Source organism: Homo sapiens, chromosome 6 (assembly GCF_000001405.40).
Source record: "Homo sapiens chromosome 6, GRCh38.p14 Primary Assembly".
Taxonomy (NCBI): Eukaryota; Metazoa; Chordata; class Mammalia; order Primates; family Hominidae; genus Homo; species Homo sapiens.
Genome location: NC_000006.12, coordinates 17,399,459 through 17,423,045, shown reverse-complemented (window position 1 = coordinate 17,423,045; position 23,587 = coordinate 17,399,459). Strand labels below are relative to the sequence as shown.

The 23,587-nt window shown below is 42.7% G+C and overlaps 1 protein-coding gene across 3 annotated transcripts in view, besides 1 other annotated feature; it reads right to left on the bottom strand.

Moving 5' to 3' along the window:
- CAP2 (cyclase associated actin cytoskeleton regulatory protein 2) overlaps nucleotides 1-23,587 on the bottom strand; it is a 164,186-nt gene that overhangs the window by 134,735 nt on the left and 5,864 nt on the right. For all 3 annotated transcript variants that reach the window (NM_006366.3, NM_001363533.2, NM_001363534.2), the window contains exon 2: nucleotides 1,370-1,491. In NM_006366.3, coding sequence (NP_006357.1) covers nucleotides 1,370-1,490 — 121 coding nt within the window. In that variant the 5' untranslated portion in view covers nucleotide 1,491. The remainder of the gene's footprint in view (nucleotides 1-1,369; nucleotides 1,492-23,587) is intronic.
- Nucleotides 4,934-5,228: a silencer, noted in NCBI's record as "tiled region #1209; HepG2 Repressive non-DNase unmatched - State 23:Low". NCBI's record gives its function as "represses a minimal TATA promoter and a strong SV40 promoter by Sharpr-MPRA in HepG2 cells {active_cell/tissue: HepG2}" and the evidence as "EXISTENCE:reporter gene assay evidence [ECO:0000049][PMID:27701403]".

The window sequence follows — 23,587 nt, the reverse complement described above, 5'->3', positions numbered from 1 at the left end:
AACAGAGTTGCCATATTAAATGCAGATTGCCTGGTTCAATTTGAATTTCAGAGAAGCAATGAATAAATGTTTGCTGTAGGTGCATAACACGCAGTATAGCCCATGCAGTATTTGGGACATCCTTATACCCCCCAAAAAAGTGTTCTTTATCTGAAATTCAAATTTAATTGGTTGTCCTTTATTTTTATTTGTTAAAAAAATTATTAAGTAAATTATTTGTAATTTTTATTTGTCCCTTAGTCAAGAAGGAATTGGAAAAATTATTGTAGATAACTTGGAGAGCTTGCCATATGTGGTACCCTTTTTGGGAAGTAGCCAACTTTTTATTTTTGATGATATAATTAAAAAATGTTTTACAGTATGGTATTAGGATATAGTTTTAAAAGCATATTTGGTTGGCCAGGTATGGTGGTTCACGCCTATAATCCCAGCACTTTGGGAGGACGAGGCAGGCGGATCACGAGGTCAGGAGATTGAGACCATCTTGGCTAACATGGTGAAACCCCGTCTCTATTAAAAATACAAAAAATTAGCTGGGCGTGGTGGCGGGCGCCTGTAGTCCCAGCTACCCGGGAGGCTGAGGCAAGAGAATCGCTTGAATCTGGGAAGCAGAGGTTGTAGTGAGCCCAGATCATATCACTGCACTCCAGCCTGGGCAACAGAGTGAGACTCCAACTCAAAAAAAAAAAAAAAAAAAAAGCATAGTTGGTTAGGAATAGGCAAAGGTAAAACACCGTGACGTAGTTATGTTACATCAAAGTCATATTTGCCTTTGCATAAGACCAGCTTCCTTCAAAACTTTAGTTCCTAAATTTAGTGATTTGTTCTTTTTAAAATGAAAATCTACAGAATGATAATTCCTTCCAATTTACATTCTAATCAAGAACATTAGTTTCTTTTTTGATAATTATGTAGATAACATATTTAGTCATTGAGTGCGGGACAGCAGTATGAACACTAAATGAAAGAAAGATGAATATGCTCTTAAGAGGCACTGAGGCTGGGCACAGTGGCTCACACCTGTAATCCCAGCACTTCGGGAGGCCGAGGCAGGGAGATGCCTTGAGCCCAGGAGTTTGAGGTCACTGTGAGCTATGATTGCACCACTGCACTCCAGCCTGGGTGATAGAGCGAGACCCTGTCTCTAAAAGGCACAGATACTGATAATTGTTGTGGATTGTGGGTTGAAAGGTTTTCTTCCTTTCTCTTTTTCAGGGATTGCTTGCCTCTGGTTAATGTTATGGTCACATACGATGGAAGGAGTAGGGAAGCTGAAGGATAATAGAAATGTTCCTTGAGAGTGAAATTATGGAAACAAAATGAAGTAACCCACAAGAAGACCAGGAATGACAACAGTTTGTGACCCTACCTGCAATGACACCATTGACTTCCCCGCAGTTCCCAGGGGGCCTGTGGGACTCTGCAGACAGCGACTCCAGGCGGCTGACAGCTCGTTCCAGTCTTTCCACCAGTCCCTGCATGTTGGCCATTCTAGAAAAGCACAGGCACAAATGGAGGCTGCGTGAGCATCAGGGAGGATGAGTAAACCAACACCATCAGTCTCAACAACAGCGAGGAGGAAGACACAATCACTGGGGATGGCTTTATTTTTATTTTTTAACCATGAAATTGTATGTATTATTGTTGCTTTTTAATCTCAGTAGTTTTGGGGGTGGGTACAAGTGGTTTTTGGTTACATGGATAAGTTCTTTAGTGGTGATTTCTGAGGTTTGGATACACCCATCATCTGAGCAGTGTACACTGTACCCAATGTGTAGTCTTTTGTCCCTCATCCCCCTCCCACCTTTCCCCAAGTCCCCAAAGTCCGTTATATCATTCTTATGCCTTTGCGTCCTCATAGCTTAGCTCCCACTTATAAGTGAGGAACATATGATATTTGGTTTTCCATTCCTGAGCTACTTCACTTAGAATAACATGGCCTCCAGCTCCATCCAAGTTAGTGTAAATGACATTATTTTGTTCCTTTCTTTGACTGATTAGTATTTCATAGTGCATATATACCACATTTTCTTTATCCATTCATTGGTTGATGGAGACTTAACGTTGGTTCCGTATCTTTGCTATTGCGAATTGTGCTGCTATAAATGTGTGTGCATGCGTCTTTTATTTACCTACAGAGTATTTCTAAATATCAGAAAAATACGTGAAATTCAAAAGAACCTAAAACTTGGAACAAAAAAAAATTGGCATTATATTGAGCTTATTTTCTATTCCATTAGTGATTATTACAAGCCCAATAGGTAATACACAAATATTCACTCCCTTTATACTGCTTCCAAGTGCCTGTGTGGATGCTTCCTTGTTATATGACACAATCTATGTACAGCACTTAACTTTTTAAAAGCCCACAAAACATATATGGAAAAATTAATATTGCCAGCTCTTCTTCTGCTAATGGTGGGAGCGTATTTTCACTATTTCCAATAATTCCTTCTGTTAAAGTATAATTCTCCAGGGGAGACTAAACCTACCGATAATCCTTGTTTACTCAATTACATAAAACCAAACAACCCTGCCCAGGAGAACTGAGTTTATGACTCTGAGCATCATTTAGCAGGCAAAGAGGCCATCACCTCTAAGAGCTAATTGTTTTCCACTTATTACTGATTGGTTTGTTTTGGTGTTTCTGTTGCTGAATTATTTTAAATTATAATTATTCTGAATGTAGGGTTTTAATTTAAAATATGACAAATGGTTATTTTCCTTTTGTAAGGCTTCTGGTTATGTTTAAGCAAAATTTAGTCTTAGGTGGGGTGGTTTGTAGAGACAGGGATCTTCAGTTACCCAGTACTCTTGGCTGGGATAAATAGGGATTAAAGCTGATTAGAGGACTGGGGATAAAAATGGGGCAGGGTGACTGGGTGCGGTGGCTCACGCCTGTAATCCCAGCACTTTGGGAGGCTGAGGCAGGCGGATCACGAAGTCAGGAGTTCGAGACCAGCCTGGCCTACATGGTGAAACCCCGTCTCTACTAAAAATACAAAAATTAGCTGGGCTTGATGGCACACGCCTGTAATCCCAGCTACTTGGGAGGCTGAAGCAGTAGAATCACTTGAGCCCAGGAGGCAGAGGTTGCAGTGAGCCGAGATTGTGCCACTGCACTCCAGCCTGGCGACAGAGTGAGACTCTGTCTCAAAAATAAATAAATAAAATAAAATAATAAAAATAAAAAAGTTAGCCAGGCATGGTGGCGGGCACCTGTAATCCTAACTACTTGGGAGACTGAGGCAGGAGAATTGCTTGAACCCAGGAGGTGGAGGTTGCAGTGAGCTGAGATCACGCCACTGCACTCCAGCCTGGGTGACAGAGCAAGACTCCGTCTAGGAAAAAAAAAAATGGCGAGGGGGCAGGGTATCCATGCTTCCTGCTTCCAAACAGAAAATTAAATGAGTGTGCATAGGGTAAGTACCGACTAAAATTATAAACTTATATTAAGATTATTGGCCCTAGAATTTATATGTCTTTAAGGCAACCTCTGAGGAATGAAACCCAATCTAATTTGTTCAGGTTCCTGAGATCTAGCTTATAGCCACCTTAACCCCGGCCATATCAACTTATGGTTGCTTTTGGCAAAATCAGGCTGCTGCTCCTTAAGAGACGACAACAAGCCTCCTCTTAATCAGTGCCTGGAATTCTTCTCCCTCTTAAGAACCTTCCAAGCATCACTCTGAGCAAAAGAGGAACAGCATGCTTCTGAATCAGAGACACTGCTGTCCTAAAGCAGGGGTAAATAAATTTAATTGCTCTCAGATGGATAAATATTTTATGTTTCTGCTGGGGACCAGGCAATACATTTATTTCTCTTATGTGTTTTGTAGTCCGTCAGTTTTGAGCTTAAACACAGTGATGACGTGCCACTGCCATTTTTCAAAAGCAAGGTTATACTTATCAAAACTTGTATAGCTCTGTAATTCTGTCTGAATGTCAGATGGTCATCAGCTATGGAGGGCGGAGTTTACTGTCTATTTTGGAAAGTCATCTCTCCTGAAACTGGCAGCAGTTACTCTTGCAAAATATGGGGCAGTGTTCTCTGCACAGCTGAAATCAGCATCTAATCCTAAGGGGATTCAAAATTAGAAATTTCTCATCTATTCTTTTCCTCTTCACGTCAGAGCTTGTGCTTCCATCGCAATTGAAGGAAAAAAAAAGGAAAGAGAAATGTAATTGAATCCTTTACGTAATCCTCTTGCAAGGGAGCTGGGTATCCTGTAGGTGGGTGAAGGCCATTTGAGAAATGATGAAAGCCCCTCAAATCTTTTAATAGTTGCCCATCTGTTCACAGTTATCTATGTTCCCTGTTACTCAACTTGCCAAATGTTACCACCATAGACCTAGCCTGCGATAGAAAAAAAAAATGTTTGCTTTGTTAGCAAGCCTCTATTCCCAACAGAATGGCACCAGCCACCTCCAGCAGCTCACAGATGAAGCTGTCTTGAGAAGGCCTGTTACATTTCACACTTAGGACTGCCGTCTCTGACTGTGGCTTAATCAGACTCCCTGACAAGACCCAAACTCGCACTATCTCATAGTGCTCCGTATGTTGAAAGACAACAGGAGTCAGCCCACAAACTGCAGGGCTGGACAGATTGGTGTGGAATGCAGTCGAAAAGCGACTCAGATGTCACTCCATGTAAAATCACCACAAGCAAGACTGAAATCCTGCCACAGCCCCTAAGGCGGTCAAAATACAGCTCATGCAAGGAAGTTGGAGAGATGTCTCTGGGTTTAAAACTTTCAGAACAGTTTCTAAGATAAACTGAAGAATAAATAAAAGAAAGACTATACCAGGAGACATGTTAGCATTCCCAAGGAGACTGATGGGGCCCAAGATGATCGGATGATCATGCCGCCTTCTCTCCAAACTCTCTCTGTCTCTCTCCCTGTCTGTCTCCCGATATACCCTCAGCCACTAGCCTGGCTCTCAAGAATGAGGAAAGAGCAGAGCTGCAGATTCTCCAAATTCTTCCCAGGCAGTCCCATCCGCCTTAGCATTCCAAAGTGGATTTAGCCAAGTTTTGACAAGGAGGTGGCAGCCAGGAATTAAGAATTAGGTTGAGGAAACTCATAGGGTAGTCAAAGCAAATACAGACAGCAAGGTCAGGGTAAGGAATGAGTCAGAGCCAGGGGGATAGACCAAGGAATTTGCTTCAGGAGGCCAGCAGAATAGGGGGATACAGCAAGATGGCAGGAAAGAAGATATTCTAAGAACCCAGTGAAGAACAAAGAGAAGCCAGATTCACAGCTGGAGAATGAAGAGACTGGGTTAGATGACACAGCTCAAACTTGTCCCCCCAGATCTTCTCTAGTCATCCTATTTAAGTAGAAGCCGATGGCAAGGAAAGGTCAAAGGATATACACAAACACCTGACCAGAGTGTGAGTGTGTGTGGGGAAAAAAGAGGAAGGAACATAACATCGCACAACTTTCTCCTTTTCACAATTTGTTTTAGGAGCCGGGGCCAGTGGCTCATGCCTGTAATCCTAGCACTTTGGGAGGCAGAGGCGGGTGGATCGCTGGATCCCAAGAGTTCTAGACCAGCCTGGGCAACACAGCGAAACCCATCTCTACATAAAATGGAAAAATTAGCTGGGTGTGGTGGCACACGCCTACAATCCCAGCTATTTGGAGGACTGAGGCAGGAGGATCTCTTGAGCCTGGGAGGTCGAGGCTGCAGTGAGCCGTGTTCACCCCACTGCACTCCAGCCTGAGTGAAAAAATGAGACCCTGTCTCAGAAAAAAAAAAAAAAAAATCAGTTTTAAAAAACTGTACTTGAGATTAATGTTAATTCCTTGTTTTGAATTAATTTTTTTGTATTCTCTTTTGAGTTTCATTATAATGAGAAGTGCACCCATCCTCCTTTTGGGTCATTTTTTTTTTTCTTATCTGAATTTTCCCCTCACTTTTCAAGGTTGTTTGTTTTTTGTTTTGAGACAGAGTCTCACTGTTTCTCAGGCTGGAGTGCAGTGGCACAATCACAGCTCACTGCAGCCTCCACCTCCTGGTCTCAAGGGAGCCTCCCACCAAAGATCCTCCCTAGTAACTAGGATTACAGTGCATGCCACTACATCTGGTTAATTTTTTAAATTCATTTTTTGCAGGGACAGTGTCTCTGTATGTTGTCCAAGCTGGTCTTGAACTCTTGGGCTCAAGCAATTCTCCCATTTCAGTTTCCCAAAATAAAGGGATTATAGGCATGAGCCATGGCATCCAGGCTAATTTTTATTTTTATCAAAGCTAGACATGCACATAATTTAAAGAATCAATAGTTCTACCCTCTTCCATTCTGTGTCATAAGTGCTAACCATTTTCAATAATTTTAACTGTTTCTTTGATAATCACACCCTCCCTTCCCCCTTATGTCTAAATAACATGACTCTATCTCTGTGTATTATTTGGTTTTCTTCAGTTTGGGGCATTATCTACTGAGTTGCCACCAAAAATACACGGGTTTACTTTTTGCTTGCCCAGTCCTCACTACCACCTGCATGCGTATTGCCTTTTGTCTTGTCCTCCCAATAGTGTTATATCACAGTTTTTCTGTGATCGATATCCAGTGTTAACACAGTTATGACTATTTGCATCTGAGCCAGGAGGTATACTATACACAGGGTTGCCATTAAGTATAAAGGTAGAGAAAGTCTGGAACATGGTCATAATGAACGTTCGCTGCAGCTATTAAGTCATCCCATCTCATTTTGCTGTCAGTGGGAATAGTTATATTTGAAATGTCAAGCAGTCATCTAGAAGATCTGGTCAATGGAAATGACTAACAGAAAACTTCAGGTCAGTATAGCCTTATTTTTGTCCCCAACATTTCATTTTCCTCTGCCCATGTACTTATTCCTCCAACATGTTTAAAAGAGTTTTCTCAAGTCTACGTGTATGTGCGGTTACCATAAAATGAAAATTGTGGTATGTAATTCGTTATTTTTCCCTCTGAACATATTTACACATATTTTCCCTCTGAACATTTTTACAATGACTCTTTTGCTTCTAAACAGCAAAGGATGAAGGCCCAATCTCTTTGGGGTCATTTTTGGAAACTAGCAGCACTCCTTCATCCCTCATATTTTCTTCACCCAACCCATCTTGTGCTCATTGGTGAAGGGTCTGTTAAGCCCTTAACTAGCTCACTCTAACCAGTTATAAAAGCAGCTTTCACAGATGCTCTGAATGTTGACACTCCATGGCGCAATGTCAATGGTGATAAGCCTAGAATAACAACCTATGTGCCTGGATTACCTATTTTGCATCTGTGAGACATACGGCCCAATTAAAAACCTGCCTTGTGCTTTCTTTCCTGTCAGCACCTGTACACCTCGCCTCCCAAGGAGACCGGCTGCAAGCTTTTCAGGGGCTGAGGTTGGGTCTTACTCTTCTTTGCATCTCCCACTGAGTCCAGCATGGTGCCCTATACCTAGAGAACTATAAATACTTTTTGATTGACTAATTAATTAGCTACCACTCACTGTCTTTTCTTTGCCTGCCCACTCACTGGCACCATTCCAGATCAGGCTGAAAGCCAGATTTTCATAGGAGAAATTTTCATTTAAAAGAAGATGCTAGATTAGTTTTTCCTACTTGGAACCACAGTGGCTCCCTCCCATGACTTGAAAGAGCACACTTGCTCCCTCTAATGTAAGCCTTTGGGTCTCTTCCATGGCTCCTTTTTCTTCAGGATTTCAAATTGTGTTAAAACTCCACATTGTCTAAAGGGTTTTGTAAATTCCTCACAACAAGTTCACAAAACAAGTAAGAGATAATGCTACTTGGATAACATTTTCATGTTAATAAAAGAGGTGGGTCTTTCAGGTTTCCTGATTGCTAGCTGAAAGTTCTCCTCACTAGGCCAAAAATACAGAAATAATGGTAGTGAGTGTTTCTCTTCCAATTCTGCAAGAGAGACCCAGATCCAAGGGCTTCTGAAGATCATGAATCTAAGATTAAATAGGAAATAGACTTTTCTCAAAAGAAGACATTTACGTGGCCAAGAAACATAAGAAAAAAGCTCAACATCACTGATCATCAGAGAAAAGCTAATCAAAACCACAATGAGATACCATCTCATGCTAGTCAGAATGGTGATTATTAAAAAGTCAGGAAACAATAGATGCTGGTGAGGCTGTGGAGAAACAGGAACACTTTTACGCTGTTGGTGGGAAGGTAAATTAGTTCAACCACTGCGGAAGACAGTATGGCGATTCCTCAAGGATCTAGAACCAGAAATACCATTTGACCCAGCAATCCCATTACTGGGTATAGACCCAAAGGATTATAAATCATTCTGCTATAAAGACACATGCATACATATGTTTATTGCAGCACTATTTACAATAACAAAGACATGGAACCAACCCAAATGCCCATCAATGATAGACTGGATAAAGAAAATGTGGTACATATACACCATGGAATACTATGCAGCCGTAAAAAGGAATGAGATCATGTCCTTTGCAGGGACATGGAAGAAACTAGAAGCCATCATCCTCAGCAAACTAACACAGGAACAGAAAACCAAATACCCCATGTTCTCACTCATAGGTAGGGGCTGAACATTGAGAATACATGGACACAAAGAGAGAAACAACACACACCAGGGCCTATTGGGGGATGGGGACTGAGGGGAGGAACTTGGAGGACGGGTCAATAGGTGCAGCAAACTACCATGACACAAGTATACCTATGTAACGAACCTGCATGTTCTGCACATGTATCCCATTTTTTAAAGTGTTTTTTTTAAGAAGAAATAAAGAAAAAAAAAAGGAAATAGACTTGAAGTGACAGGAAACTGGAGACTTTCAAACCTTTTCTCATAGTGAGGCTGGGCAACTGGTTTATATGTGAACTCTCTGCAAAAAATAAAGTTACAATGGACTAATTTCTCTGTAAGTCCATCAAAATTTAAAATATTTGGTAAACTACCATCAAATCAGACTGTCCTAGATTGTTAAACTCTTTTTTTTTTTTTTTGAGACAGAGTCTCACTCTGTCACCCAAGCTGGAGTGCAATGGCACAATCTTGGCTCACTGCAATCTCCGCCTCCTGGGTTCAAGTGATTCTCCTGCCTCAGCCTCCCAAGTAGCTGGAATTACAGGCGCCCTCCACCATGCCAGGCTAATGTTTGTATTTTTAGCAGAGACAGGGTTTCGCCATGTTGGCCAGGGTGGTCTCGAACTCCTGACCTCATGTGATCCACCTGCCTTGGTCTCCCAAAGTGCTGGGATTACAGACGTGAGCCACTGCGTCTGGCCAATTGTTAAATTCTCTTTACAGTAACCGTATCAGTGACTTTCTTTTATTTCCCAGGAAACTACCAAGCACTGGGAGAAGTAACCCTGTGATTCACTATTACTAATTGGGTAATGGTATGTATAGGAGAAACAAACCATCACAGTATTCATTCATTCATTTTTTAACTGGCTCATTGAATATGTTTGTTTCATTCACTCAATCAGTCAGTTCCCACTGTCTACTAGGCACAATGCTCATATCTAGAAAACTAAGGCTGATTAAAAAACATTTCCTGCCCTACTGTAGTGTGAGGGGGCTGAAAGCAAACCCTGCTCAGTCAAGCCAGGAAGCTGTTTAACTAAGAGATACATTCACGTTGCCAAGGTGCCCGCCTTCGTATCTTTTGCTTACTCTCCTATAGAGCATTTCTGGAGCCAGCTTCTCGCCAAACAGCAAACAAAAAGCACCATTTTCTTTTTATTGCAAAGATGTTTCAAGAGTCTCTGATTTTTGAGATGGTGTAATCAGAATAGCTGAGACCAGAAAGTTATATAAGAAAAAGAACACTCTCAATGTTTCATGAAACTGGAGAAAACATGTATGAGATCCTGGTTAGCCAACTGACTCCTCTAGGGCCTCTAATCAGGTCTCACTGCAGGAGAAAAATGCTTCAGCTTGACCTTCAGAAAGATCTCACCCCAGCTCTCTAGCTACAATTCCCCATGCTCCTGAGATACCCACATGCCACAGGGACAACTCCCCAAGTCCCAAACGTGTCCTACCCTATCCCTCTCCTATGCCATGATTCTGCTGCCTCTAAGGTTCTTCCTAGCACTGTTAATTTTCAATCCTCAAATCCCAGCTCCTCCAAGAGATCTTGCAGTGTCTCACAAATCAGAGTAATCTCTGGAGAGGTCTTTACTCCCTGACATCTCCATCGACTATCGAAACCACATATACAATTTCCTCGCCATCCCATTTGCCCCCTCCACTGTGGTGGTTTCACCCCTCAGAACCATCCCTAATTTGCCTTATATATAAATATTCCTCCTCTAAGTTGAAATAAGAAATACTTACTCCCTGACATTTCCATCTAAACCACATGTACAATTACCTCACCATCCCATTTGCCCCCTCCACTCTGGAGGTATCACCCCTCAGAACCATCTCTGATCTGCCTCGTAGTTTAAGCATTTGTCCTCTAAGTTGAAATGTCTGAAGATAAAAGGCTAGGACTCATAACTTAATGTAGTGGAAAAAGAACTCTGGGGATTAGAGAATCTTAATTTGAGATCCAGCCCCTTCACTGACAACCCACGTGATTCTGGAGGTCTTGAGTCTTCTAGTAGACAGACTACTTAATCTGTCTGAGTCTCAGTTTTCCTATTTCCAATATACGAACTCATTCCTTCTTCCTCATTCAGTGGCTTAAGAAAATTGTCTGCAAAGGTGTTTTGAGCTACATTCGGTACTGGCTTGGGGCTACACAGGTGGATGAGACACAGACTGCGTCCTCAAGGCACAATCTCCTTGAGGAGTAGACAGTTCAGCCACTGGGGGCTGGCCAGCTGTCCATGGCACTGGGCCACAGGGAACTGGGCTACTGAGGCAGGAGGGAGCCCAGTGAGAACTGAGGCCATGGGGAAGGCTAAGTACATCTCGAATCCTGGCTCTGTGCACTGACTTGGGGTGATGGGGCTGAGTAAGGCAGAGCCATAAAATAAAGGACTCTGAATGCTGACCAGGGCCAGGATAAACCATATACTACTCCCCTGTCATGGAGTGGAAGCTCGCTTAGCTAAACACGAGATAGAAACCCTTCACTGAAGAGGAGCTCATTCCCCAGGCCCCTCTATAGCCCTTTCTAAGCACCTATGCAGTTGAGGAAGCTCTTTCTATTTCTGTGTCCCCACGTTGCCCCTTTGCGCTTGTTTACACCATGGAGGAGGTAGAGTTCAAAGAACTGCTTCTAGGAGTCCCCTAAGGGCCACACGCTGGCACTGAGAAAAGAAGAGCCATGGAGAACCTGCTGGCCAGGCCACTACAGACTGGGCAGGAGGGTCGTGAACCATTCTCCCTCCATCAAGTAAATGTGTTACTCCCCTTGTATCCAGAATATATAAAAAAACTTTTACACTCAATAAGAAGGCAAATATGCCAGTTTAATAGTCAGCAAAATATCTAAATAGACATCTTCCCAGAGAAGACAGGCAAATGGCCAAGAGCACATGTGAAAGGGCTCAACATCAGTAATCATTAGGAAAATGCAAATCAAGACTCCAATCAGATACCACTTCACACACACTAGTATGGTTATAACCTAAAAGACAGATAATAAAAAGTGCTGGTGAGAATATGAAGGAATTGGAACCCTCAGACATTGCTGGTGAATATGGAAAATGGGACAGTTGGTTTAAACTGTTTGGAAGTTTCTTCAGAAGTTAAGCACATATTTGCCATATGAACCAGTCATTCCACTCTATTTTACTCAAGAGAAATAAAAATATATGTTCACACACAGACTTGTGCACAAATGTCATAGCAGCACTGTTCATAATAGCCAAAAAATGGAAACAATCCAAATGTCCATTAACCTGTGAATGCCTAAGCAAAATATGGCATATGTATTATAATGGAGTATTATTCAGCCATAAAAAAGAGTGAAATACTGATACATGCTACAAAACAAAACAAGTGAACTTCAAAAGCATTACACTAAATGAAAGTCAGACAAGAAGACTGTGTATTGTATGATTCCATTTATAAGAAATATCCAGGAAAGGCTAATCTATAGAGACAGAAAGTAGGTTAGGACATTTAAATTGGGTCAATTTTATGGCATATAAAATTATAACTCAAAAAAGGTTTAAAAACAAACAAATGAAAAAGGATTGTGCCTCTTTGTAAAGATACAGTTAAAAACCATTAAATCTGGCCAGGCATGGTGGCTCACGCCTGTAGTCCCAGCACTTTGGGAGGCCGAAGCGGGCAGATCACGAGGTCAGGAGATCAAGACCATCCTGGCTAACACAGTGAAACCCCATCTCTACAAAAAAATACAAAAAAGTTGACCAGGCGTGGTGGCGGTCACCTGTAGTCCCAGCTACTCGGGAGGTTGAGGCAGGAAAATGGCGTGAACCTGGAAGGCAGACCTTGCAGTGAGCCGAGATCATGCCACTGCACTCCAGCTCTGGACTCCGTCTCAAAAAAAAAAAAAAATTAAATCTGAGTAACTTTGCTGTTCTCATCTCCCAGTGGTCAGAAGTGGTGGTGAAACCTACCCAGATACTGCTCCAAGTGGCCATACTCCCCACTCCTGGAACTAGTTGTACAGGCCAAGGCAGGTGAGAGAATAAAACATTGATTCTCACCACTCTTTTTCATCTGCGTAAGAATCACTGGGGGAGAGGTGAGCCTTCTTAAATGCAGGCTCCTGGGCCCCACTCTCAGCAATACTGATGCAGTAGTTCTGGGTATTCCCAGGAATCTGCCTTTTTAAGAAGCACTCTTCAGAGTACAAGGGCCCACACTTTGAGAATTACTGTAACAGAGGTGTGCAGGGATGTGGTGGGAGCATGTGGGACAGGCAGCTCAAGAAAGGTAGACATGCAACTGAGCCCTGGGAAGTAGAGAGGCTACCAAAGTTATGATAAGAACCAAATTAAGTCTCAAAGATGAGAGTATGGTATTCAGAAGAAGAAAAATAAGTAAAGGCATCCCACCGCCTATGCCTCCATATGCAAACGCATGGAAGCATGAATGACGAGTAAATATTGATGGAACATTCATTATGCGCCAGGAGCTATCTAACAGAGCATGAGAAACAAGGGACTGATGAGTAGTTAGAAGGGGTGGTAGTCAGGGCCGGGAGGGGAGTTGGGAATAAAGTGACAGCGGGTTGAAGAAGATCTAAGGGAAGTTTAGATTAGGCAAGATTTGAGAAAAGATTAAATGGTTGGAGGTTTGGAGGGAAAGGGAGAAGCTAGGATATCTTAGATGTTTTGCTTCAGGGAAGGTGGTGCCAATCAAAATAGAGTTAGGGAGCGGAGGTGCCCAGGTCAGAGGAGTTCAGAGTTAGAGGATCTGCATTTGAAGTGCCTACAGTTGGCAGTTACGAGTAGGGACCTAAAGCTCAGGGGCCTTCTGGAAATATGTCATAAGTATTATCTACCCAATAATAATACATGCCTCAGGATTCTTGGGAAGGTGAAAGGAGACCATGAAGTGAACTTTGCAACTACAAAGTGATGCCTACATGTCATTATTATAATTTCCCTCTGAATGGTCCACAGCACTCATCACTGTGCTCTGTACCCAGTGAGTGCTCAATCCCTGAATTATCATGGTAAGTGTTACTACCTCCTCTATCTTCCAGACACAATGATGGTAACATCTCACACACCACACTTCCTTTTTTTTTGAGACAGAGTCTCACTCTGTCACCCAGGCTGGAGTGCAGTGGCGTGATCTCGGCTCACCGCAACATCCGCTTCCTGGGCGCAGGTGATTCTTCTGCCCCAGCCTCCCGAGTAGCTGGGATTATAGGTGCCTGCCACCACACCTGGTGAATTTTTGTATTTTTAGTAGAGATGGGGTTTCACCATGTTGGCCAGGCTGGTCTCGAATGCCTGACCTCAGGTGACTCGCCTGCCTCAGCCTCCTAAAGTGCTGGGATTACAGGCGTGAGCCACCACGCCCAGCCTCACACACCACACTTCTCAAACCAGGCCACAGAACAAGCACACTGCAAAATCACCGCAGACTGCAAGCAGGGGGATATCAAAAGCACCATGGACTGAAAGCATAAGAGGCTATCATCATAGGGCTGAGCGTGGTTGCTCACGCCTGTAATCCCAGCACTTGGGGAGGCCGAGGCTGGCGGATCACAAGGTCAGGAGATCAAGACCATCCTGGCTAACATGGTGAAACCCCGTCTCTATTAAAAATACAAAAAATTAGCTGGGCATGGTGGCGGGCGCCTGCAGTCCAAGCTACTCGAGCTACTCGGGAGGCTGAGGCAGGAGAATGGCATGAACCCAGGAGGCAGAGCTTGCAGTGAGTAGAGATCATGCCACTGCACTCCAGTGTGGCGACAGAGTGAGACTCCGTCTCAAAAAAAAAAAAAAAAAAAGGAGGCTATCATTTCATATAGTCAGTTACTTCTCATGACTAGGAATGTTTTACTTTATCAAATTCTGTCATTTCAATGTGAAGAATGCCTTGTCTCTCTGGAATGATGAGTGCTATGGTCTGGTTTGTTTGACCCCCTGCAAAACTTATGTTGAAATCTGATCCCCAGGTAGAGCCTAATGGGAGGTGGGAGGTGGAAGGTGTTTGGGTCATGAGGGCAGATCCCTCATGAATGGCTTGGTGCCATTCTCACAAGAGTGAATTCTTGCTCTATTCGTTCCCAGGAGAGCTGGTTGTTAAAAAGAGGCTGGCATCCATTTGTGAGCTGTAGAGTGGCAAGGAAAAAATGAGCCTGGCACCTCTCCTCTCCTCCTGCTTCTTCTCTCGCCGTGTAATCTGCACATTCCAGCTTCCCTTCAACTCTTGCCACAAATGGAAGCAGCCTGAGGCCTTTACCAGAAACAGATGTTTCTTGTACAGCCTGCAGAACTGTCAGCCAAACAAACCTCTAATCTTTGTAAATGAGTCTCAGGTATCCTTTATAGCAATACTAATGGACTTAGATAACGAGTAATAAGGTTTGTTGAAATTCCTTGTAATCTCAAAATTTACCAGCATTCATTGTAATTATATGCAATTAAATAAAAGATTCAGCAACTCTCTTAAAAGAAAATGAAAAAAGAAAAGCCCTAAAGATCAGTTCTTAAGTGTTGGGCCAGTTTTATGAATAGAAATTACCAACAAATCCAAGTGTGATGGAATAGCCAGGTGATCAGTTTGGCCCAAGCATTCCTCCAGCCCCCTTTTGCTTCTTCATGTGTCTCTAGCTTCCTGGGTCTACTTTCACACTTGACTTTGATTTTTTTTTTTTTTTTTTTTTTTTGAGACCGAGTCTTGCTCTGTCACCTAGGCTGGAGTGCAGTGGCAGGATCTCAGCTGACTGCAACCTCCACCTCCCAGGTTCAAGGGATTCTCCTGCCTCAGCCTCCTGAGTTGCTGGGATTACAGGCGTGCATCACCACACTCAGCTAAATTTTTATATTTTTTGGTAAAGACGGGGTTTCACCATGTTGGCCAGGTTGGTCTTGAACTCCTGACCTCAAGTGATCCACCTGCCTTGGCCTCCAAAAGTGCTGGGATTACAGGCGTGAGGCAATGCGCCTGGCCATTTTTTTTTTTTTTCAAGACAGGTTCTCACTCAGCTGCCCAGGCTGGAGTGCAGTGGCACAATCATAGCTCACTGCAACCTTGAGCTCCTGGGCTCAAGCGGTCCTCCTGACTCGGTCTCCCGAAGTGCTGGGATTACAGACATGAGCCACCACACCCAGCTTCAATTTATTACTTCAACACAATCAATCAGGGGTTTCAACTCATGCTGTTGACCACTAAAAAACTACAGGTTCTTCCTTTTTTTGCTCTTTGAACCTGGGAGCCCAAAGTAAAAGGGGAAACAGAGAAAGTGGGTAAAGTGGAAAGAAAAGAATGGTGTGGAAGAAACAGAGGAGAAAAAGGAAACAAGAGAAAGCTTCAAAAAGAGGAAGGGGCTACCAGGGACACTCAAGAAGGAAGAAGCCCACTTCAGCCTCTCTCCAAACTGTGTTCAAAATACAAAAGGCAACTATCTGATTCCAAAAGACAAAACAATAGTACATGAATTGAGAAGAATCAAAATTGAAAAGGGAACCCATTTGGGAGTAAAATGCTGGTTTTTTTCTCATTTTTTTCTTCAGGGTCGACCTTAAATCAGAATTGGGTGGGGGTGCAGGTAGCAAACACTCCAACAGAAGCTCCTCTTTTTGGCCAGAGGAACTGGAAAGGGGGCCCTGGCTAATAGAAGAGTGTGAGGCAAGCCCAGGTTTTGGGTTTTGTTTGCATTTTTCTCTCCCAAGCGTGGCCGTAGTCACAGAACTGTGTGGCAGAACAGTAAGCAGCAGCACAGGCACCTGAAACTTTTTTTCTAAAGAAACCTGGGCAGGGCGAGGTTGCTCACACCTGTAATCCCAGCACTTTGGGAGGCCGAGGCAGGCACATCATGAAGTCAGGAGTTCCAGACCAACCTGACCAATATGGTGAAACCTTGTCTCTACTAAAAATACAAAAATTAGCCAGGCGTGGTGGCATGGGCCTGTAATCCCAGCTATGCAGGAGGCTGAGGCAGGAGAATTGCTTGAATCCAGGAGGCGGAGGTTGCAGTGAGCCGAGATTGCACCCTTGCACTCCAGCCTGGGCGACAGAGTGAGACTGCCTCAAAAAAAAAAAAAAAGAAATCTGGGCTTACTGACAGAAAAGTAGGGGAACAGGGGACCTTGTGGTCCACAGAGTATGGGGAGAATTCCTGGTATTTTATTCCTCTCGCTACTCTGTCCTGAGGATGGCCCCAAGTCTTGGAGAACTCTACAGCAGCATAAGCACCTTAAACTTTAAAAGAAATCTAGTCTTTCCAGAAGAACAGGAAAAAGGGATCTTGGGGTAGAGGTGTGTGGCGAGAATCCCAGAGAGACGAGAGCTAAAGAAGGGGATGCCCTGGCTCTGTGTATGAACCAGCACAAGTCCCTGAACTGTGTATGTGTGGGACGGTCCCAAAGGCTTTGCAAACTGAAGTAGATATAAACCACTGCTCAGGCTGGGCGCGGTCGCTCACACCTGTAATCCCAGCACTTTCAGAGGCTGGGGTAGGGAGATCGCTTGAGCCCAGGAGTTCACGACCAGCCTGGGCAACATAGGTAGACCCCGCCTCTACAAAAAACTTAAAAATTAGCTGAGTGTGGTGGCCTGAGCCTATAGTCCCAGCTACTTGGGAAGCTGAGACAGGAGGATCACTTGAGCCCAGGAGGTCGAGGCTGTAGCGAGCCAAGATTGTGTCACTGCCTTCCAGCCTGAGTGACAGAGTGAGACCCTGTTTCAAAAAAACAAAACATTATGCTTTTGTGCTTTAAATAAAAATAAAAATAATAAATAAACAAAACAAAAGAAGAAATCATGACCAAAAACTTCCAAACTTGGTGAAAGCTACACATTTACAGATCCAAATAGAGTAGTTGCCCTTTGCCCAGTTTCACTTTCTGTAGTTTCAGTTACCCATGGTCAACAATGGTCCAAATATAGGTGAGCACAGTACAATAAGATATTTTGAGAGAGAGAGAGAGAGAGAGAGAGAGAGAGACTCCACATTCACATAACCTTTATTATGGTATATTGCAATGAAGTTCTAGTTTATTATTAGTTATTATTGTTAATCTCTTACTATGCCTAATTTATACATTAAACTTTTTTAAATTTTGAGATGGGGTCTCACTCTGTCGCCCAGGCTGGAATGCAGTGGTGCAATCTCAGCTCACTGCAACCTTTGCCTCCTGGGTTCACACGATTCTCCTGCCTCAGCCTCCCGAGTGGCTGGGATTAACAAGCGTCTATACCACACCTGGCTAATTTTTGTATTTTTAGTAGAGTTGGGGTTTCACCATGTTGGCCAGGCTGATCTCGAATCCTGACCTCAGGTGATCCACCCGCCTCGGCCTCCCAAAGTGCTGGGGTTATAGGCGTGCCCCACTACACCCGGCCTTATATATTAAACTTTATCACGGTAGCTATGTATAGGAAAAAACGTGGTATATGTAGGATTTGGTACTATCCATGCTTTCAGGCATCAACAGGGGGTCTTAGAACGTATCCCCCATGGATAAGTGGGGAATACTGTAGTGCTGTCTGTCTGTTATACATATACACTCATACAATACCTTCTGGTGAGTGCCTCCAAAGAGGAGAACAATAACGATGAATAAAGTAAAGATATAACTGCCTACAAAGAAATAAATAAAATGTAATGGCTGTTATCCTCTTTTGAGACGTGTCATAAGTACTTAGACTTTTAATTTTTTTTTTTTTTTTTTTGAGATGGAGTCTCACACTGTCACCCAGGCTGGAGTGCAGTGGCGCGATCTTGGCTCACTGCAACCTCCACCTCCCAGGTTCAAGCAATTCTCCTGCCTCAGCCTCCCAAGTAACTGGGATTACAGGTGCGTGCCACCAAGTCCAGCTAAATTTTTTTTTTTTTTTTGAGATGGAGTCTTGCTCTGTCACCCAGGCTGGAGTGCAGTGGCGCCATCTGGGCTCACTGCAAGCTCGGCCTCCTGGGTTCACACCATTCTCCTGCCTCAGCCTCCCGAGTAGCTGGGACTACAGGCACTCGCCACCACGCCCAGCTATTTTTTTGTATTTTCAGTAGAGACGGGGTTTCACCGTGTTAGCCAGGATGGTCTCCATCTCCTGACCTCGTGATCTGCCCGCCTTGGCCTCCCAAAGTGCTGGGATTACAGGCATGAGCCACCGCACCCAGCCATTTTTTGTATTTTTAATAGAGATAGAGTTTTACTATGTTGGCCAGGCTGGTCTCGAACGCCTGACCTCGTGATCCACCCACCTCGGCCTCTCAAAGTGGTGGGGATTACAGGCGTGAGCCACCATGCCTGGCCAAGACCTTTAATTCTTGAATGGCTTCCTTAGGGACATCCAGTAAAACAAGGAGTCACTAGAACTATGTCAATTAATGAATTGGTTCATTTACCAATACTGAGCTAGAAAGGTTTTGCCACAATTACTGACCCTTGGTTTTTGGTCAGAAAATAGCAGCAGGGTGAGCTACAACAGGAGTCTTCAATTTTTTTACTTGTATATACCCTAAAAGAATTTTGTAAAAGCCTCTTGCACATTTTTAGATTGGCATATAGCAACTGTCACCAAAATGTGAATAGTTGCAAAGAATGTAACTTCCAACACTGTGTAAATATGGCCATATAAAACTATCTTATATGTCCAGTGAAATTCATTCTTACTCATTTTAAAAGAATACTGGAACAGGCTGGTCTTTAATAGTCACAAATTTTGCATAATTCCATTTTCTCCTTGAACTTATATTTCCACGCTTCTTGCCCTACAGAAGTTTATCTTAATTTTACATATTTTATGCTTTAGCCTATTTTACTCATTAGCCTACCATACTTTTCTGCATCAAAAACATTATTTAAATTTAAATTCTAATTCAATGGTCAAAACATTTTTTAAAAAAAGCTATTCTGATACCATTGTTACTATTAGTAGGATGTGACTTAGAAAACAACACAAATATTACAAATTTTGACAAATAATTACTAAAAGTAAATAAAAAGCAACTTTATTGGAAATCTCTCTCTTTTGAACACTTTTACTTTCCATAACTTTATGGATATGTGGATGTGTATACTTATTAAAATGAGTCCAGGTGGCTGGGCGCTGTGGCTCACGCCAGTAATCCCCGCACTTTGGGAGGCCAAGGCAGGCGGATCACCTGAGGTCAGGAGTTTGAGACCAGCCTGGCCAACATGGTAAAACCCCATCTCTACTAAAAGTACAAAAAATTAGCCGGGCATGGTGGCTCGCGCCTGTAGTCCCAGCTAGCCAGGAGGCTGATGCATGAGAATCACTTAAACCCAGGAGGCAGAGGTTGCAGTGAGCCAAGATCGTGCCACTGCACTCCAGCCTGGGTGACAGAGCAAGACTCCATCTCAATAAAAAATAATAATAATAAAATAAAAATAAATAAAATGGGTCAATGTTGAGCATCAATTTAATTCTTATTTTTTGTTTTTATCAATGTAATGCTGGGAAACATAATGAGGAGATGGAAATGGGAGGAATTTTGTTATAGAAATGTCACTTAATTTTTTGAACTCCAACATCACATGGTAGTGAAATATCAAAACTTATTTTAATTGTCAATGTAAGGAAAAATTGAGAAGACAAATTTCATGAGTACCCTAATACTTATTCATCTGGGTCATCTCAGTCATTCATTGTGTTTGACTAAGCTATTTTACAACCCTGTAGAGATATAAGTTAAGTTGCAGAAAACTGATAGTAAAGCAAGTCATACAGACATGCAAATAAACTTTATGCTGTAGAAGTCCAATCACCTTCCCTCTCCCATTGTGGAAGAAGCCAGTTTTACATGTATTAAGCAAATTCATTCCAGCATTCTTATAAATGATCTCCTTTGAACTGACTGCAAAACCTTTCTGGCTCTCTCATTTTTTAAATAAGTTTGAAAATGTCTATTTTTTATTTGTATGAGAGTCAAAATTTCATTCTTTTTTAGAGTTTATCCTTTAATATCGGTTTACTATTTGATTAGACTGGCCTTCACTTTTTGTTTTTTAAGATAGATTTAGAAAACACATGATTTGCAAAAGGGTCTCTGCTCAGGCATTACAGTCATTTGCTTTCTCACCCCTGAAACGAAATTTATACTCAGAAATTTCCCCCTTTTTTGTCCTCCCCATCCCCTAGAGTTTTACATCCTTGGGCAAAGCAATTTACTAAAATGGGTTAGACATAAACCATTTAGTAAAATGGATTAGGAAAATGGGGTAGACATACGCTTTTCACAAGGAAAGCAAGAGGAAGGTGATTATGGAAAAGCAGATGGGAAAGAGAACTTGCGTCTCCATTACAGGTCCATTCTCATCAAGATTAGTCTTAGGAAAAAAGCACATATGGAAGAGGAGGATTTGGACCTTTATATTCTCAAAGCACCTGTGCACATGTACCTTTGGCAAACCTTTGCATATAGTAAATGCACACAGTTTAAAGATTGCTGAACCAAAATAAGAAGCATAAAAATGAGTTCCATCCCCAATTATATATTATATAGAGACTCACACTATTAACAAGTCTCTTTTTAAAATTTTCAATTACTGAAGACTTTCAATTGATAATTGTCCACCTTCCATTCAGAAAGAGGCATTGAGGGGAGTGAATTCCTAAGGAAGAGAGAGGCTGTTCTGAAGCAAGATGGAAGGAGGGGGAGTGAAGGGTTGTCTACAGTGAGAACTTTGAACACAGAGAGGAGTACTAAGAAACAGAGAAGAAATTCAAATGGAGGAGAAATAAAAATGTAAACTTAAAAAAAATTGCCTAAATAATTGTGGATCTGCATTGTACCCTGAAAATCTCTAGCCACAGCTTCTAGCATGACTGCCGAGAGATAGACTATCTGCATTTAGCCTACCTCATGTCAAGTAACCAATCAGTTGAAACTGTCCATCAATCAACCTAACTCATTAGGCCAGACATTTGGTTTTCCTGCCACTGGAGAGGGGTGAGTAGCAATACCAGGACAGTATACATTCGATGGAAAGATCACACTTATATCATATTGATCTATCACTTGCACAGTTTGGGTAATACACAGGTTACTATGTTAGTTTCTTTCAGGCTGCTGTAACAAAACACCACAGACTGGATAGCTTATAAACAATAGAAATTTATTTCTCACAGTTCTGGAGGTTGGGAAGTCCAAGATCAATGCAGATCAAGGCCCACTTTCTGGCTCATAGATGGCACTTTCTTGCTGTGTCCTTACTTGGCGAAAGGAGCAAAGGGTCTCCCTTGGTTCTCTTTCATAAGGGCACTAATCCATTCATGAGTGCTCTACCCCATGACCTATTCACCTCCCAAGGCCTTCCACTCCTAATACCATCACAATGGCAGTGAGGATTTCAACATAAGAATTTTGGGAGGACATAAACATTCAGACCACAGCAGCTTCGAAGCTAAGATTACAAATGGATGCCTCCAACTCCAGTATATCACACTATAACCAGACTGAACTATACATGCAACACTTGGAAGCCTATTTTACCTGGTTCTGAAAAATCTGATCATCTCATTTTCTTAGTGTGGTCCAATTTAACTGTTCTTGTTGCCTTAGGATAAAATAATTCATTTTCATAAGAATCCAGTGATTCTTTTTTTTTTTTTTTTGAGACGGAGTCTCACTCTGTTGCCCAGGCTGGAATGCAATGGCGCGATCTCGGCTCACTGCAAGCTCTGCCTCCTGGGTTCACGCCATTCTCCTGCCTCAGCCTCCCGAGTAGCTGGGACTACAGGCACCTGCCACCACGCCTGGCTAATTTTTTTTGTATTTTTAGTACAGACGGGGTTTCACCATGTTAGCTAGGATGGTCTTGATCTCCTGACCTTGTGATCTGCCCGCCTCAGCCTCCCAAAGTGCTGGGATTAGAGGCATGAGCCACTGTGCCCGGCCAAGAATCCAGTGATTCTTCTCTGACTAAAACTAAATAGAAACAAAGTAGGAAATGATGACAATCATCCGAATAGATCCTTTGTGACTTATGTTTACAGCTTAAGTGTCATCTTCTATTCATTCTATCTTCCTTCACTGATCTTCATTTTTGCATCCCCAGATGCTAGGGATATAGCAGTCACTCAACATAGGGGGAGTAAGTCAACCAATGGATCCCAGAATTTCTCTGGATCTCCAAATGGAATGATGCAAAGTAACAGAGGTTATTTTCTCATTAAACTGTGCATAATAATAGGACAACAAAGCTGTCTATGTACTACAGGTCTGTTTTGTGTGTGTATGTGTGTGTGTGTTTTGAGATGGAGTCTCATTCTGTTGCCCACACTGGAATGCAGTGGCATGATCTTGGCTCACTGCAACCTCCGCCTCCCGGGTTCAAGCGATTCTCCTGCCTCAGCCTCCCAAGTAGCTGGGACTACAGGCACGTGCCACCATGCCCAGCTAATTTTTTTTTTTTGTATTTTTAATAGAGATGGGGTTTCACCGTGTTAGCCAGCATGGTCTCAATCTCCTGACCTTGTGATCACCCGCCTTGGCCTCCCAAAGTGCTGGGATTAGAGGCGTGAGCCACCATGCCCGGCCACTACAGGTCTGTCTTTGGTGTCTCCAGCATCTAACTTCCCCAGGAACCATCTTCCTCTTCAGAACTGCCATTTAGGTTACCTCCCTTCTATGTTCAGCCTCTTGGAACCCTCCTTCAGCCTCTCAGAATACCCCTTCCCATCAAAACAAAAGAGATTTTAGATCAGACTTCTATATTGCAGAATGGCCTTTACATTCTGAAAAGCTGAGGGCTAACAGGAACATCAAAGGTTATTTACTTCCTCCATGTATCAGGTAAATGTGAAATTTTAAGAATTAGGGGCTAGTGCACCTTCTGCAGGTGGCTAAGTGTTCAATGAGAAGCCAGGATTATTAGATGCCTAATTAACTAGACAGGGCAGATGAAGACCCCATTCATAATAGTCATAATTTCTTCTTCTGGTTTCAGACAATGTCCTATGTCCCTTTCTGTATAGGGCTGTATACTGAAAGGGAAACAATCCCTTCACATAATTTCTCA